Below are 18714 nucleotides of genomic sequence, written 5' to 3'. Positions count from 1 at the left end.
ATTTGCAAATATATATATAGTAATCTACACAGAGTTTATACCTTTCATAAAAATTAACTCAAAGTGGATCATACACCTGAATGTAAAATGCAGACTTGTAAAACTTCTAGAAGAAACATATAGACAATGTAGGTAACGCTGGGCTTGGTGATGAATTTTTAGACACAATATCAAAAGCATGATCCACTGAAGAAAAACAAATAATAAGTTGGACTTCATTAAAACCAAAAATTTCTACTCCATGAAAGATATTGTTAAAAGAATGAAAAGACAAGCCACATACTAGAAGAAAATGTTCATAAAACACATATCTGGTAAAGGTCTTATGTCCAAAATAAAAATAGAAATACTAAAATTCAACAATAAAAAAACAAACAACCCAATTAAAAATGGGCAAAAGATCTGAACAGACACTTTACAAAAGAACAGATGTAGACAGCAAATAAGCATGTAGAAAGATGTTCAACATCATATATGAGGGAATTGCAAATTAAAACATTAATGAATCACTGCTACACACTTATTAGAATGGCTAAAATAACAAAACACTGACAACACCAAATGCTAGTGAGGATGTGCAGCTACAGGAACTTTTATTCATTGCTGATGGAAATGCAAAATGACACAGCCACTTTAAAAGACAGTTTGGCAGTTTCTTACAAAGTTTAACCTAATCTTACCATAAGATCCAACAATTCCACTCCTAGATATTTACTCAACTGATTTGAAAACTTGTGGTCACACAAAAATCTGCCTGCAAATATTTATGGCAACTTTATTCATAAGTACAAGAACCCATTACTAACTAAGATGTCCTTCAATTGGTGAATCGACACAAAAGCAAACTATGGTGTATCTATACAACAGAATATTATAGATTCAGCAATAAAAAGGAGTGAGCTATCAAGACATAAAAAGACATGGGGAAACCCTAAATATATATGGCTAAGTGAAGACAGCCAGTTTGAAAAGGTTACATATTTAAGATTCCAATTTTATAGCATTCTTTAAAAGGCAAAACCGTAGAGATGGTAAAAAGACCATTGGTTTTCAGGAGTTTGGGGGAAGGAGGAAAGGACTGAATAGATAAAGGAGAGGGGATTTTTACAGCGTGAAACTATTCTGTATGATGCCAGACACTCTCTTTCAAAACCTTCATAACTTTATAGCACAAAGAGTGAATGTTATGCAAATTAAACACTATTTACAAGGTCAGAAGATCTCATAAAGCAATGCAGACTGTGAAAGAGGACCTAACTGTACAAATGTATGAAAGTATCATACTGAAGGAGAAAAGGTAGGGATTGGGGGGGGAAGGAAGCAACTCTGAAAAGGAGTGGAGTCTCTAAGACTATAGGCAAAAGAAACTTCACATAAGCACTATACTCTAGTTAATTAAGTTGTGCCCATGGAGGTATGGGTTAATAATTCTAGAAACATTGTCTGCATAAGTGGATAGTGGGTGGTGGCAACCAGGTTTCTTTTGTTGTTGTTGTTGTTTTCATTTTTCTTTTGTGACTCAACTGAAGTAGCAACCAGGTTTCATGCTAATGAAGTGGGAATTTGCAAATAGATAAATAAGAGGAGGCTAGAATGATTCATGTGATAATAAGTCAGAGCTGGAGACATAAGTATGAACTCATGTTTTTGCTTAATAAAGATATAGATGGTTATGTAGAGAAATATTCATAGATATGTGTATATACATAAGACATATATACACATCTATATTTCTTTGCTATGTCAGCTGACAGGGCCTAGAAGCAGCAGTATCCCGGTAACAATGAGTACATCTACCACCAAGATCTTGGATTCTAATATTATTTTTCAGTAAGAGGAACCAGGACTCTTTGGAGAAAAGGCTGATTTTATTACTGGGACAGGAAATGTGTACGATGAGCCTGGAACATCTTATAGTGCCAGGAAGTGAGGAAGTGCTCAAAAAACAAAACAAAACAAACAAAAAATCCATACAATGATGAGGGTGTGTCAAAGAGACAACTCCGGAGCCAACTGAAAGCTCCCAATAGCCAAAGCTGGAACAATTTGAAGAATAAAATAAACTAATATTGGACTATAACACAAAGTGTAGAACAAATATCCGTAAGTCCTTAGTGATATGAATACATTATTGAATAACTTAATAATTAGGGGAGAAGGAGCAAATATCCCTTGTAAAATAACTCAAAATAATTAATGTCAATACTCTGCACTCCAGGAGGGGCCCCATAAATCCTCACTCCCTAAGTGTGGGCTGCACGTGGTGACTTCTTTCCAAATAGTACAGTATGGGAAGGAAGTAGGGGCAACTTTACAGTAGACAAACCTGAAAAACAGTACCTCAGCTAGGAGAACAAGGTCAATATCAACAACCATAAATCATACTGATTCTATAAACCTTTGATATGATGCAATGAAAATGGTACTTTTTCTCTGAGGTTTTCCCGAAGACCAGTAACCCCAGTCTAACCATTAATAAAACACCAGACAAATTCCAGTAGAGGGGAATCCCATAAAACACTTACCCAGTTCTCAAAAACTGTCAATGTCAAAACAAACAAACAAACAAACAAACAAACAAAAACAAAGAAAATCTGGGAAACTGTTGCAGCCAAGAGGAGCCTAAGGAGACATGAAAACTGTGATATGGAATCGTGGATGTGATCCTGGAACAGAAAAAGACATTCGGTAAAAACTAAGGAAAGCTGAGTAAACTATAGACTTTAGGTAATAATAATGTATCAGTACTGGTTTATTAATTGTGACAAAAGTGTCATACTAATCATGTGAAATGTTAATAGGAGAAATCTGAGTGCAGGATACATGGGAAATCTTTGCACTATCTTTTTAATTTCTCTGTATATCTAAAACTGTTCTTCAAACTAAAATCCACTCTAAAAATCTGGTTTCAGAACTAAATCTATTCCAATGTGGATGACATAGAATGGGAAAAAAATGATGGATAAAACATTTTTTGGGGGGAAAAAAAGGAGGAAATCTAGTTTTGCTAAAGATGTTTATAACCACTGACAAAAAAGATGTTGGACAATGATAGAACAAGATAGTTATATATATGGAGAGCCAAAAACAACACAGGAAGATGTGAAGAATGGAAGGGAATTAGCAGGAGAAAAGACATTTCAGATGGAATACAACACAGAAAACTGATCTGGAGACCAATTTGACTGAAAAACAGTGCTATGCAATAAGGAAAAAGGAAATAAATTTGGACCCAACTACACAAATCTTTGAGTAACTAATTTAGAAGTTTGCTACTTTATCAAAAGGTACTGTATTTATACTGCATATCAATACTATTTGTGACTAACAGTTTAAATCATTTTATTTTTACTCAAATTTGGGACTTATGTAAGAACTTACTGGGCAGAGAGTTACATCTTGGATTAGACAAGATAAATAAAATATTTTTGAGTAATTTACAGAGATTTCTTCTATATCCATAATTATAGGTAAAAAATTGCTTCTTAAGCTTTAGAGCTAAAAAATAAATTTTGCATGCTAATATAAAAGTGTGTAAGGTGTTTGGTTAGTAATATTTCTCTTATTTATGTTATTACTGTTGCAAGAGCATGATGCTTTTTTAATGAAAAATGAAGCATAGCAAAGTGTTATCCAGATTTCTCTTACTCCAACAAAAATCAGAAAATAAAAAAGCAAACAATTTTGAAATGTTTACATAATATATTTAAAAAGTTATCACAGAGATAACTAGATAGTGACTCAAAATAGGACATTCAAAATTACATTTGGATAAAACATTTATTTGGAGTCAAAAAGTGCTAAGTTTCAAACCTGGCCCTGTCAGTTACTACCTATGTGGCCTGGAGTGAGTTATATCACATATTTGAATTCCATTTTCTCTTCTGTAAATTGGTAACGAACAGCTTTTTTTCAGTTTTCTCATTACATTTAAATAAGAAAATAGGTATGGAATACATCTCAACCTCTTGCACATAGTAAGCCCCAATAAATGGAAGGTATTATTATTTTAAAATAATAAATAACAAGGCACTTCATTAATGTTCTAAAATAGTATTCATCGTTTTCCTCCAAACTCTTCTATATATAAGTATAAACAACCTTCTTGAAAATGGAATGGATAAAGATACGTTTAGGTTTTAAAAGCCTCCCTTAGTAAAGCTCTCAATTTCTAAAGTCTTTAGCCAGCATTCTTGGAAAACCTCATTTTCAGTTGTTCATTATAATAAATAAAAACATACAAACACTATTCTTTCCCATCTCATCCTAAAACTAAGATGCTGCTGCTGCCTCTGAATTGCAGGATATTGGGTGGTGTGAAGTGCAATTAATGAAGGAAAGTTTAAAAGCACATTGATTCCAAAAACATAGGGTGATAATTCAAGCCCAAACTTGTTTTCAAACTGTGGCACCTCAGAAATAATGAAATCATGAGCAGTGCAAATGAGAGGAATATCATATCAGATGATCCCCACAGTCTTTGCCTTTTTAAAAAATGTCCAGTGAAAGACCAAGTTTCCAGAACCTGTGAACAACAATGGCTAACTAATAAGAGGACCAGCTGTGAGACCAGAGGTTTATCTAAGCCCTCTCAACCTGCATGCCTTTTTTGGAGCATTTGAAATTCAGATTCTATTTATCAAATACTCAGAAGACTTTTCTCCATCTATAGCAATGACAATGCTGTGTGAGCATCACTGGAAATGGACATTTAAATTTTTAGTTGCAGAGTACCAGTCATACATTAATCTTAGAAATTTATGAGATCACGGCTATACAGGTGATAATTCCAGAATACAAACATAGAAAGGGAAGAAAGCTTAAACATAGTAGAAAAATGAGTCCTATGTTAACTAAAGGAATATTAGGAGGGAAAGAAATAAAGAAAAAAAATGGAAACATAAAATAATTATTTTTAGAGCCAATTTTTAAAATGCCACAATAAGAATATGTAACATAAGGCTTGACATTGTCTGAGTGCATGATCCCATGCATGCTGTGCTTGAGGAGTAAAATACCAGAGGGAAAAAGGAGAGTAAGAAAAGAGCATGCATGAAGGGAGAATACATTTTTAAAATTGAAGCAATAAATTACCTGAGATTTCCCTAGAGACCTGTAAATAGGAAACTGAAAGCATTTCCTTCTATTTATTTTATAAGTACAATAAACTTTATCAGCTTTTAGTATTGGAGACTTGTGCAATATTTATAGGCTGCTTACATTCAATGTTATTCAGGAGATAGTATCAGGAGACTAATGAAAAAGAAAATTGGGGTAAGGTTAGGGGTCTTTTTCCCTCTTGTCCAACAATCGGGATTTATCATAAAGATTTATCATATTGCTTCCTGGCCCATTCGCCACGGCCAACATAAAGTGCCCTGTCTAGCCTGTGATATAATTGGGCTAGCCACAGACATACAGCTTCCTGGCTCAATAGAAGGTCATTAGAGACAGATTTCTTGCACCAACACAGTAACAGGTGTCCTCTATGTCTCTGAGGAAGAGAAATGAATAAAGGAAAGACTGAACAGGCAAGAGACTTCTGGTGGCTGTGTCACACATAGCCAGATCAATAGAGAAAGGTTCTTTGTAAAGCCATCGTCTAACAGAAACCTTCAATCACTTGTCAGTGACATCAGCTGATGTGGCACACACTGGACCTTAAGAGCAGGCAGGGTGTAGAGTTAGAAGTGGTTAAGGACAGTTCATCCAGGATTTAAATTTCTTTATATCATACAAATTTCAAGTTTGTTGATCAAGGTCCATAAACTTAAAACTTAGGCACTCTCAAACTTTACAAAATTCTTTCCAGTGTCCTTCCATTTCTGATGTGTCAAAAATGTTATTCCCATTTATGGCTTTCATAGATTCCTCAGACCATCCATGGGTTAAAGGGTGGTGGCTGCTTCCATTCCTGAATCTTTATAGAAGTTTGTACAGATTGGTCCACTTTCATCTTTTCATCCATTGGCACTATCTTGATATTGCCATCAATTTAGCAAATTATGCTCACAATTTTGTCTCAAGCTGTTTCTAAATCTCTTTTAATATGCCTGTTTCTCATATTTTTATAGGTAAAGATTAATCTTTTAATAAATTTAGAATATTAAGAACCAATAAAAGCAAACCTTGCTATAACATTTTATATAATTGCTAGGAATTTATAAAAATAATTCAAAACTGCTGGGCGCAGTGGCTCATGCTTGTAATCCCAGCATATTGGGAGGCCGAGGTGGGTGGATCACTTGAGATCAGGAGCTCGAGAACAGCCTGGCCAACATGTTGAAATCCTGTCTCTACTAAAAATACAAAAATTAGCCGGGCATGGTGACGGGCTCCTGTAATCCCAGCTGCTCTGGAGGCTGAGGCAGAAGAATCGCTTGAACCTGGGAAGCAGAGCTTGCAGTGAGCTGAGATGGCACCACTGCAGTCCAGGCTTTTTAAAATCTCAAATCCTTTGACAGTGTGCTTTGCAACATTAAAATAAAACATAAAGAAACTCTTATCCGCATAAGTAATGAATATTTTCTATGAATTCAAACCAGAGACAATTACGGAGGGAAATCTAGGCAGAAGCCTTACTTGATATTATTATACAAACATCTGACAAGGGCACCAAGTACAAAAAGCCTACAAGCAATGATCAACTTTAGCCAGCTGGTCTGTGTAGGGATAAAGATTGCACATGAAAATTGCATAAGTCATTGTATTTCATAACCAAATCTCTTTATAGTTTTCTAAATCTCACATTCCTAAGTAAAGAGGGTCTGTGCTGTCAGCCAAACTATAATAATAATTCCTAAGATCCTGGAAGGCAAGGACAAAATCTACACAATACTCTTGTATGGCACCTAGAACTGTAATGAGAAATAGATATTTAACAAAGTTTGTTTTGATTTTGTTTTTGCTTTTTTGTTGTTTTTATTTTATTATTTTATCTTGGATAAAAAATTCCACACATCCCTCAGGGCCCACTTCAACAACCTGAGTGACAGTAAGATTGGGAGACTATATTATGTCTTCCACCTCTGCAGTCCCATTGAAAGATAAGATTTCCAATCTCTAGTCCATTCCAGATTTCCAACTCTCTAAGAAAATAGAATCTGAATTGGAATTTGGATCAGCTGTTTTGCAGATTATTGAACTTGGTGGAGAATTTTGTTTAGGCCTCTGCAGGATGCTGTCAGTCCTGGAAAGTCCATGGAGTCTGGTTTCATTCAAATTCCCACTAGGACAAATGCTCCAGGAGAGGAGGGAATTTTATACTTTGTTCAGTACTGTATTCCCAATGTCTTATTCTCAAGGAATATTTGTTCAACAAATGAATAAACCCTGTGAACTTTCTTGGAGTCTACAAGAATATTTCATTACATCTCAGGTTTTCTGGGAATTCTGAATAGGTCCCAACACCCTGCAATGGCTGAACTGGAAAGGGAATGTTGGTGGGTGCAACACTATTTCATAGGGTCAGTTGCAGCCATTATTAAGAATACTGCACCAATATTACAGGTCCTTGGAAATAATAAACTGTACATTTAATACATTATGAAATTGTAGTCCATATAACATTTCTGTTCTCTGTGTCTTTTAGCTAGGCCCAAGAACAGAGGGTAAAATTTAGCAAGTAATAAGGAAGAGCAAGACATATGAAAATTAATTCAATTATTTTACTTGACAAACATTATCAAATATAAACAGTAGAGATGGTTGTAATGAAGGAATTTTTTTTGAGTGCTTGTCCAAAGTTCCCCTGTAAAGAATTTTTTAAACCATTGTTAGAGACCACTTTTACTAAAATTGCAACAGGCTGGGTCAAATTCAAACAAAATCAAATGTCACTGACATAGAACATACAGCTGTGTAACTGAAAGGAGAAAATTTGTTTGGGACTGATTTTCCAAATATAACTATTATTATAGTTATCCATTTTGTCTATCTGATGTTCTTTTTCTATTGAAATGACAGCTAGTCGCTGAGTTCTTCTCAATATTACCTTGTGGCTGTTCTCAACCTGAGAGGTTGTCATGTTTTTATTTAGAAACAGATGCACTATTCCAATGACAACTTTGATTGTCCATAAACCACATGTGAAGAACCTTAAAGCATCCTCAAAACAAACTTTTGTGACCTGAAATATACCAGCCCATGGTAATCTAGACAAGTGACACAAAAACACCATGTTAAATCACTAACAATCACAATCTTAAATCACACCTCATTTCAAGGAGAACTGATCTTCCAGACATTTGTTCTTTCCAGCATAACCTGTGACTCATGAGGGTTCCATACTGCTGGGGACATCCTGGTGGAAAATGAACCCTCAGTACTATGTAGGTCTGCATGTGCTCTCTTGCGCCAGTTTCAAATGTTATGCCACAAACTGAATTGGTGGCAGTCTAAATGCTTTCTTGCCAAACCAATATGCACAAGTTTCTTTGTTATCATTACTGATGGCCTGTACATCTAAGCTCTATTCACTCTGTACAAATTACTATACATAAATAAGGAGTATATGTAATAGAGTTATAGCTTTATGACCTTCAAAATCAACATAGAATATCACCAGATCTGAATATTATCTGATAATCTAATATGGAAACAAGAATTGTTTTTAAAGTCTATCACTTTTCTATTTATATATTAAGTTGGTCAAAAAGTTTAGATATGGGCCTGTTTAGGTTTACAAAGTTTAAGATAGTCAAATTTCCAGCAACAGAAAAAAACAGATTAAGGAGGAGGAGTCCTAATGTAAACAGTGTTTAATTGTAATGAGGCTGACTAAATAAAACTAATACATTCACTGAAGAAGTTAAATACTTGTTTATTTTATGCCAAACAGCAATTTAGAGGCAACTAGATATTTGTCTAATTTTTTTCTGATAACTTAAAATTTGCATCTATGAATCCAAACATTTGGCTTCCTGACTGCATATTAGCATTTTAATAGCCATGGCTAGCTTTATGTGGAAATGGTCTTGGTCTAAGCAAGAGTGAAGACTCCAAAATGAAGGAACCATAATATTAAGGCCCAAGTGAATTCAGAGGAAAATGATTACAGGGTATAGGTTTATCCTTGTTCAGCCCACCCAATGAGATCTCAGTACAGTTCCTCCCATCAGAGCTCCCAAGCCACATGTGACACTTTGTCATGAAACCTGTAGTGCTTTAAGTATTCTCATTTCAATCTCAGGGAAATAGATGAGATCGTATCGAGGGTTTGGGAATCCGAGGTCATTTTGACTGAGAAAAATTGCAAATGCAGCTCCTAAGTCGTGTTCTGGAAGAGAAAGCCCAAGGGCCAACTGTGTATGACTCAGTCCATTTTATTAAGCAAAATTTCCCTTTCATCTATATTTGATTAAATAAGAATCCAAACAGCTGTACCCTTCGTTGGCACAGATAAGGTGCCATATTTCTTTATACTCAATCTCCACAGTCCCAGAAAATCACTTTACCTAATCATTGATTCCATCTACTTTCATTCAGCCTTTTAAAAATGTTGGTTAGAGCTGCCAAACTAACTTTTTCAATTGTTCTACGAAGTATTTGCAATATTCTCTAGCAGAAGAAAGATGTATTTTAGAAGCTGGTGAGTAGATCATGGAGACTCAGGCAGTCATCACCATTTTTTATTTATTATTTGTGAAATAGCTGGTGCTTAGTGTAGGGATAGACTTTAAAAAAGGCATAGATCTTAGTCAAGAAGCTAATAACCTATGTCAGACAGACAGAGCAATTTAGTCATAAAATACATCTGCAAAAAGGTGGATCTTAAAACTTAGGTTGGAATTGCGCCTTGGATTCCTTTCAATTTGGAAAGGGTAGTGGAGGAGAAATTTTAATGATAAAGAATCAATGAGGCTATTTGCCAAGGAAGTGAGAAATTGAGTTCTCCAGAAAAATTGGAAATTATTTTATGACTTTATGCTTTTATTTGATTTGAAGTATTTATGACATATGGTGATTACGTCATATCTCCCTACCCTGCTTCAAGGAAACACATTATATGTGGATTTTCTTAAAATCAAGGACCAGTGCTTATTCCTATCAGAGTACATTGTACATAGCGTATGCTCAGTAAATTCTTGTTAAGTGAATAAATAAATGAAAGCTTAATAAATTTGAGGATAATACATATTCAGAGAGACATTTCAAGTCCTGAAAAATCAAAAAACATTTTGGTAAGGAGATGAGTTTGAGCAAGAGGAGTTAGACAGCCTATGAAAAGAAAGTTAACAAACAGAGCCCCATAAAGCACAGTGTAAGAATATGTTGCCAGCACTATACATAAAATAGGGAATCCTTTCCCATTGCTTGTTTTTGTCAGGTTTGTCAAAGATCAGATGGTTGTAGATGTGTGGCATTATTTCTGAGGCCTCTGTTTTGTTCCATTGGTCTATATATCTGTTTTGGTACCAGTACTATGCTGTTTGGGTTACTGTAGCCTTGTAGCATAGTTTGAAGTCAGGTAGCATGATGCCTCCAGCTTTGTTTTTTGTTTGTTTGTTTTTTTGGTTTTTTGGTTTTTTTTTTTTTGCTTAGGATTGACTTGGCTATATGGGCTCTTCTTTGGTTCCATATGAAATTTAAAGTAGTTTTTTCTAATTCTGTGAAGAAAGTCAATGGTAGATTGATGGGAAAACTGGCCAGTCATATGCAGAAAACTGAAACTGGACCCCTTCATTACACCTTATACAAAAATTAACTCAAGATGGATTAAAGACTTAAACGTAAGACCTAAAACCATAAAAACCCTAGAAGAAAACCTAGGCAATACCATTCAGGATATAGGCATGGGCAAATACTTCATGATTAAAACACCAAAAGCAATGACAACAAAAGCCAAAATTAACAAATGGGATCTCATTAAACTAAAGAACTTCTGCACAGCCAAAGAAACTATCAACAGAGTGAACAGACAACCTACAGAATGGGGGAAAATCTTTGCAATCTATCCATCTGACAAAGGGCTAATATCCAGAATGTACAAAGAACTTAAACAAATTTACAAGAAAAAAAAATTACCCCACCAAAAAGTGGGTGAAGGATATGAAAAGATAATTCTCAAAGAAGACATTTATGTGGCCAACAAACATATGAAAAAAAGCTCATAATCACTGGTCATTACAGAAATGCAAATCAAAACCACAATGAGATACGATCTCACGCCAGTTAGAATGGCCATCACTAAAAACTCTGGAAACAACAGATGCTGGAGAGGATGTGCAGAAATAGGAATGCTTTTACACTGTTGGTGGGAGTGCAAATTAGTTCAGCCATTGTGGAAGACAGTGTGGTGATTCCTCAAGGATCTAGAACCAGAAATACCATTTGACCCAGCAATCCCATTACTGGGTATATACCCAAAGGATTATAAATCATTCTACTATAAAGGCACATGCACACATATGTTTATTGCAGCACTGTTCACAATAGCAAAGACTTGGAACAAACCTAAATGCCCATCAATGATAGACTAGATAGAGAAAATATGGCACATATACACCACAGAATACTATGCAGCCATAAAAAAGGATGAATTCATGTCCTTTGCAGGGACATGGATGAAGCTGGAAACCATCATTCTCAGCAAACTAACACAGGAACAGAAAACCAAACACCACCTGTTCTCACTCATAAGTGGGAGTTGAACAGTGAGAACACATGGACTCAGGGAGGGGAACATCACACACTGGGGTCTTCGGCGGGTGGAGGGATAGGGGAGGGATAGCATTAGGAGAAATACCTAATGTAGATGATGGGTTGATGGGTGCAGCAAACCACTATGGCATGTTTATACCTATGTAACAAACCTGCATGTTCTGCAGATATACCCCATAACTTAAAGTATAATAAAAAAAGAGAAAATTACACTAAAAAAAGAGTATGTTGCTCTATGCCTTAAAATTGTAACTTCTCTTGCCATATTTTGAAATATCTAAATTACTTTTTAGTAATTATGTTGACACTGGCTTTGAGTTCCTTACAAAAAGCTGGCATTAGACATAAAAAAGTTGTTTTAATTAGGTCAGATATATGCAAATTAATTTGCATTCTGCAACATTCCTTATTTTAAAGATCATATAAAGATACCTATATAGCTGAAATGTTTCCATATTTTCATACTTTGATAAGGATAGGACTGTATATGGTTAACCCTGGGAAGATTATGAGCAATAAGAGCCATACTGGAGATGAGTGAGAAGCAGAGGAACCAGGATGGAAGAAGGGACACACACTCACATGGTTTGGATGTTTCTCCTCTACAATTCTCATGTTAAAATGTGACCCCCAATGTTAGAGGTGGGGGCCTAGGGGGAGATGTTTGGGTAATGGAAGAGGGAGGTCCCACATGAATGGCTTGGTACCCACATCACAGTGATGAGTGAGACCTTGTTCTCTTAGTTTAAGCAAGAACTAGTAGCTTAAAAGAGCTTAGTGGCCAGGTGCAGTGACTCCCACTGGTAATCCTAGCCCTTTGGGAGACTGAGGTGAGAGGATCGCTTGAGCTTAGGAGTTTAAGACCAGCCTGAACAACATGGCAAAACCCCATTTCTACAAAATATACAAAATTTAGCCAGGTGTGGTGGCACACACCAGTGGACTACTGGTGTACTGCTACTCAAGAGGCTGAGATGGGAGGATCTCTTGAGCCTGGGAAGCAGAGGTTGCAGTGAGCTGAGATCATGACACTGCACTCCAACCTGGGCAACAGAGCGAGACCCTATATCACAAACAAAAACAGAAAATAGCCTGGCACCTCTTCCTCTCTCTCTTCCTCCCTCTCTCACCCTGTGACATGGCCTGCTACCCCTTTGCCTTCTGCCATGAGCAAAAGCTTCCTGAGGCCTTATCAGAAGCCAAGAAGATGCTGGTGCCATACTTGTACAGCCTGCAGAACAGAGAGCCAAATTAATCTCCTTTCTTTATAGTTTCTCCAGTGTCAGGTATTTCCTTACAGCAAAGCAAAACGGATACACACACACACACACACACACACACACACAATGAGACAAACATGGAAATAAATTTTCTATCTTCTCAGTGGTTCTTCACGCTAGCTATGCATACAGAAATTGAACGTAAGGAGCTCAGGCGTGTGTCTCAGTCATATGGTTAACTCCTTTGTGCTGTACTAACACAGCCAGATCCCCCTGTACCCATTGCATGTCAACATTAGGCATACTTCACTTGTTTTCTGGGGTGAACTCACAAATTAGTCTGCAGAGGTACACTTGCCTGTAATTTAATTCCTATCTCCAGAATAGAACAGAAAGAATGAGCAGCCTAAAGAATCCAGCTTGGTTGGATATAAAGAGGAGACCATGATGACAACTAAATGCCCACTGGTGTGAAGCAAGGTAAAGCTGGATTGATTTCCCTGGGACCATCACTGCTGAGCAAACCTATTGGTAATTCATTTTGTCTATTTCAGGTAGCAACATTTTTCAGAACTCTGGAGTTGAACCCTAAATATGTCTTTCCACCTCTCCAGCTAATTTGCTAAATGAGGCAGGAAGCTGATTTGTCAAAGTCCATATGTATCTTAATACTATGTCAAGGGAATCTTGACTTACTGAACCACCAAATTCAGGTTTCTCCTCAACAGGATTCTGACTAGAAATAACACTGTAACCATAGAAACACCCATTCAATGAATGGTCATGGGAGAAATGACAGCACAATGCCATTTTAAAAGGATAAAAAAGGAGAATTCCTGCCAAATTTGATACGGAGAAGGACTTTTTTCTCAACAAAAAAGCACTACAAAGTGCTCAGAAAGGAGGATTTCGATTTTTTTCTAGCTCTCTCTACAAGTACACATTTTCTCTCTTTTATTCATTCATCAAATATTTTTTTAATGCCAGCCACATTCCAGGTACTGTTCTAGGCACTGCAGTAAACAAAGCAGACTGAGTCTCTGTTGTCTAATGGGGAAACACAAATAATAATAACACCTAATATGTAAAAAAGTGTTAGATGTAAAGGAGAATAAAATGGGGAAAGGAGATAGAGCATGATGATAATAAATGTCAAGAGAATGAAATTTATTATGACCAAGAAAGACCTCCACGAAAAGGTGACAATTGTGCTGAGGAAACAGAACAGATTTCTCATATGGAACAAGGGAATAGCCTGTGCAAAAGCCCTGCAGTGGGAATATGTATTGGGCGATGGAGCAAAAGTGAAGATTACTGAAATAGAGTAAAGGAGGGTGAGAGAGCTGGGTGACAAGTGTTGGGTAGTGGGCTCAGACCATGAAGGGATGCATGGTCTATAGAAGGACTTGTAGTTTGAGTGATAAAGGAATCCTTTGGAGGTCTTGACCAGAGGAATAATACGGTGTGTCTTGAGTTTTAGAAGGATTACACTAGCTGCAATACGGACATGAAATTGTATTGGGGATTACGTGGAAAGCAGGCAGACCAGCTAAGGAGACTATTACGATAATTCAGACAGGAGAAGATAGTGACTTGGGCCAGGATGGTAATAATAAAAATAAAGAAGGAAGGAAGGAAGGAAGGGAGGGAGGAAGGAAAGAAGGAAGGAAGGTTGCTTTTCAATATATTTTGAAGGCAGCCCTGACAGGATTTGCTGATGAGATGAATGAGAGTGGCTAGTACAGTGCATTATTGGCATATGAATAAGTAAATATTAATCAAATAAAACAGTCAAATCAAATTTGCTTTTTTTTCAGAGAAATTTGCAATTTAGAGAAGTAAAAGTACTATTTCTTTTCCTAACAATGATAACATTTTGGATTTACACAGTAGCCCATTCCATGGTGGTTTTGTGGTTGGTTTGTTTGTTCATTTTGTCTTTTGTTTGTTTGCTTGTTTTTGAGACAAGGTCTTACTCTGTCACTCAGGCTGGGGTGCAGTGGCACAATCACAGCTCACTGCCGCCTCAACCTTCCAGGCTCAAGCCATCCTCCCACCTTGACCTCCCAAAATGCTGGTATTATAGGCATGAGCCACCACACTTGGCCCCATGGTGTTTTTGATGATCTTTTGATATGTCAACCTGTCTAGGCTACAGTCTCCAGTTATTCCGTTAAACAATAATCTAAGTGTTGTTGTGAAGGTATTTTGCAGATGTGATTAAAGCCCATAATAAATTGACTTTAAATAAGGGAGATTATCCCAGGTAATTTGGGTAGGCCTGACTCTTAGTTTTTGGTTTGCTTTTGGTTTGTTTTTTTGAAGACAGAGTCTAGCTCTTTCGCCCAGGCTGGAGTGCAATGGCACAATCTCTGCTCACTGTAACCTGTGCCTCCCAGGTTCAAGCGATTCTCATGCTCCTGACTCATGCTCTCTTCGGCCTCCTGAGTAGCTGGGACTACAGGCACATGCGAACACGCCCAGCTAATTTTTGTATTTTTTTGTAGAGACAGGGTTTTGCCATATTGAACAGGCTAGTCTCTAACTCCTGACCTCAGGTGACCCGCCTGCCTCGGCCTCCCAAAGTGCTGCGATTACAGGCGTGAGCCATCATGCCTAACCATGACTCTAGTAGTTGAAAGGTCTCAAGAGCAAAGCTGAGCATCTTCCCTGATGAAGAAGGTATTCTGCCTGTGGACAGCAGCTTCAACACATGCCTGAGAGTTCTCAGCCTGTCCTTCCTAATGTCCTGCCCTATAGATTTCAGACTTGCTGAGCCAGCCTCCACAATCATAAAAGCCCATTCTTTTTGCAATAAATCTCTTAATGTAATATCCTACTAATTCTACTCCTCTGTTTGAACCCTGTCTGATGCGGAGCTGAGTTAAATGCTTCCAGTTTAAGCTACCAAAAGGAAACAAGTTATTAGTCACCTATTAGAGCTCTCACTCACTCTTGTGGTCTACTCCTTTATTTAGACATATATAAAACATATAGTTGGAAAGAAAATTCAGCCCTACCCATACAAATAGGATGATTGGTAATATGTTTATTCAGTAACAGAGTCATCATAGGATTAGAATACTTTTAAAAAACTGGCAATGAGTTAGTCTGGTTGTTTGAGACAGTCACCTTATGGCATAATTAGTATAGATTTTATGAATTATATCTCATGGACCATTTGCCTCCCTCCTCCCACTATGTAGGCTGTATAGGGAATATTGGTCAGGTGGTAGAGAAGGAGGCCTATGCAGGTACAATGGACAGAGGATTCAGTAGAGAGAGCATTGATTGGGAGAAAGAAAACATGTGTTCTTCCCCTGGCTTCTGTTTTAGTTCGGTTCCTTAATCACAAAGAACAATGTCTTATTCAGGTTATCTGAAGAAGAAGAGAGTCTGTTATAACAACCGAGACATTAATTGGAGCTGGAAGCAGAACTAGAGAGAGGGTAGCTTCAGGGAGCCCCCACTTCATACCTGCTACATTTTCATGGACTATATGAATCTGTCTCTCACTTGGCCTCCACTTCTTTGCCCATCCATTTCAACCTCCTCTCCAAGCCACTTGCATTTGTTGGACCTGAGTTTACATTACAGTCTCTGCTTTCATTGCCTAGGCTCAACCTCATGCATGGTTAACTACATAGTCTCTTTCAACTCTTCTTCCACTGCTAACTCTGCCATTTTCACATTTCCTAAATCAAATTCTCAAGAAAAGGAAGAGAGAGAATCTGATTATTCCAACTACAAAGAGAGTGGTTATTAAAGGTTAAGTGTGAAAGGTCATAACATAGGTTATTGGCCACCCACAAAGGCTGTGGTTGAAGTAGAGGAAGGAGGACAGCTAAAATGTGACACCCATAGTCAAAAGCTACTGTTTAACCTTTCGGCACATCAGCACCTTGACATGCCTGCATTCTTGGTTCTGCAACGTTTTAAGGGAACTTTTCTCATCTCCAGCCTATCTTTCCCTCTATCCTTGTACCTACTTCTTTTCCCACCTACTCTTATGTATCAATCTTCCAAGGGTTACATCCTGGTTTTATTGTCTTTTAGAGACTCCTGGGGAGAATTCTGTGTAATCAAAAGAAGTCACTGGATTAGGTAAAGCTCAGGAGGATGGACGAGGATACTCCTAGTAGTTAGCATGTTCAAAAGCCTGGAAGCAGGGAGAGTTTTCCTTCTACCTTAGGAGAAGTCTTTTTAGAAAACAAACTCTGAGGCAGATATTTGCATGCAGCTGGTTTATTAGGAAGTTCCAGAACAACACCTATAAAGGAATGAGAGAAGCAGGACTGGGTAAAGACAGAAATTGACACAGACCTATGAGGTCTCTTTAGCTCAGACCTATGCGAGGTCTGGAGCTGGGATATCCCTTCAGATTTGTCCACATCAAAACAAGAAGGCTTGACCTGTGTAGTCCTGCATCAACAAGTCAATGGATTGAACTATTCCTGGAAATAGGTGTAGACTTGGACAAGTTAGGTCCCTTCAACCAAGGATAATTTCCAGTGACTGCATTAGCTATAGACTGCCAGCAGCCAACAATTTCATAGCTGGGGGATAAATGCATTAGTTCTGAAGAGGAAATCTGAGTAGTATACCAGAGCATCCAATCCAGTATAGGCCAATCCTTGCATCCCTTGGATTCACGTGATTCACACGGTAAATTTATTCCATCTGGGAAGAACTCCTTCAAGTTTCTGGTTGGTCTCTTTTTCTGGGAAACTTTACAAAAGAAAGATGAGTAGCATGAACTATATATATAGCTTTTGCCAATATAGCTGGTTTTACAGCTGAAACTGAAACTCATTTTCTCCCTCCTCTGCAACCTATTCCAGATTGTTTTGACCCTAATTTAGCACCTCTGATGATCTAGATGGCTTACCTGGTGGGGTTACCCAGACAGTCATCCCTGAGTGCCTAGGCTTCTGGTAACCACACCATACTGTGGCTGCTGTACTTGTCCATTTCTTGAAAAAATCAGGAAAGTATCAAGACATGATCCAGTAGATAACCTGACAACCAAACTTATGCTTTCCAGACCCCACTGAGTACCCCTAGGAGGCCATTAGGAGGATGGCCTCCTAATGGCCGGAATCAATTACCTCTACCAACATTGTTTTCTTTTATTGCTTACTGGACTCTTGACATGAAGAAACTTAAATGACCCTACAGTAGCCATAGTTTAAAGTTTAATGGGACTCTTACTGGGCCCCCTGGTAAAACAATTTCCACTTTAGAATCCAGAACCTAGTTTAGAATCCACAGAACCAAAACATGCATTATTGAGGAAACATTTCTCAACTGAGTCATTCACTGGTAGTGATGATAAGTAGAGCCATCCTGGACCCACTGGAGAATAGAACTGTAAAAGGGTCTTTGATTTAGGGTATATATTACATCCTGAAAGATAATGCCTCATCTGTGCAAGGTATCATCTGCAAGCCAGTATCTAAGCTGCTCCTTCAAAAGTCAATTCCATTATCTTTCAGACCTGCAACTTCAGAGTGGTGCAGAATGTAACAGAACCAATAGATACATGGTTATGTGTACACTCCTACAACATTGTTGTTTGGTCTGAGGCTATGTTACACCATATATGGTGTGGGTAGATATTCCGTTCTTCTGATGGTGCTAGCTGAGGCCTTGTGGTAGGAAAAGGAAACTCATACCACAATATGTGACTTTTCCAGTCGAGATGAATCACTACCTTTTCCAGGATAGAAAGGTTCCAGTGTAATCAACTTGCCACTGAGCGGCTGGTTGGTTTCCCTGAGGGATTTTGCTGTACCAGAGACTCAGTAATGATCTCTTTTGCTAGCAATTTGGG

General features: G+C 37.5%; 1 long non-coding RNA gene across 1 annotated transcript; it reads right to left on the bottom strand.

Moving 5' to 3' along the window:
• Nucleotides 1–17110: 17110 nt before the first annotated feature.
• Nucleotides 17111–18114, bottom strand: LOC105374051 (uncharacterized). The gene is made up of 3 exons (XR_924352.3): nt 17990–18114; nt 17770–17854; nt 17111–17609 (listed from the first exon to the last, which is right to left on the bottom strand). It is a non-coding gene; the product is annotated as an uncharacterized LOC105374051 (long non-coding RNA).
• Nucleotides 18115–18714: the final 600 nt, after the last annotated feature.

Source organism: Homo sapiens, chromosome 3, assembly GCF_000001405.40.
Source record: "Homo sapiens chromosome 3, GRCh38.p14 Primary Assembly".
Classification (NCBI taxonomy): domain Eukaryota; kingdom Metazoa; phylum Chordata; class Mammalia; order Primates; family Hominidae; genus Homo; species Homo sapiens.
This window is presented reverse-complemented; position numbering and strand designations above follow the sequence as displayed.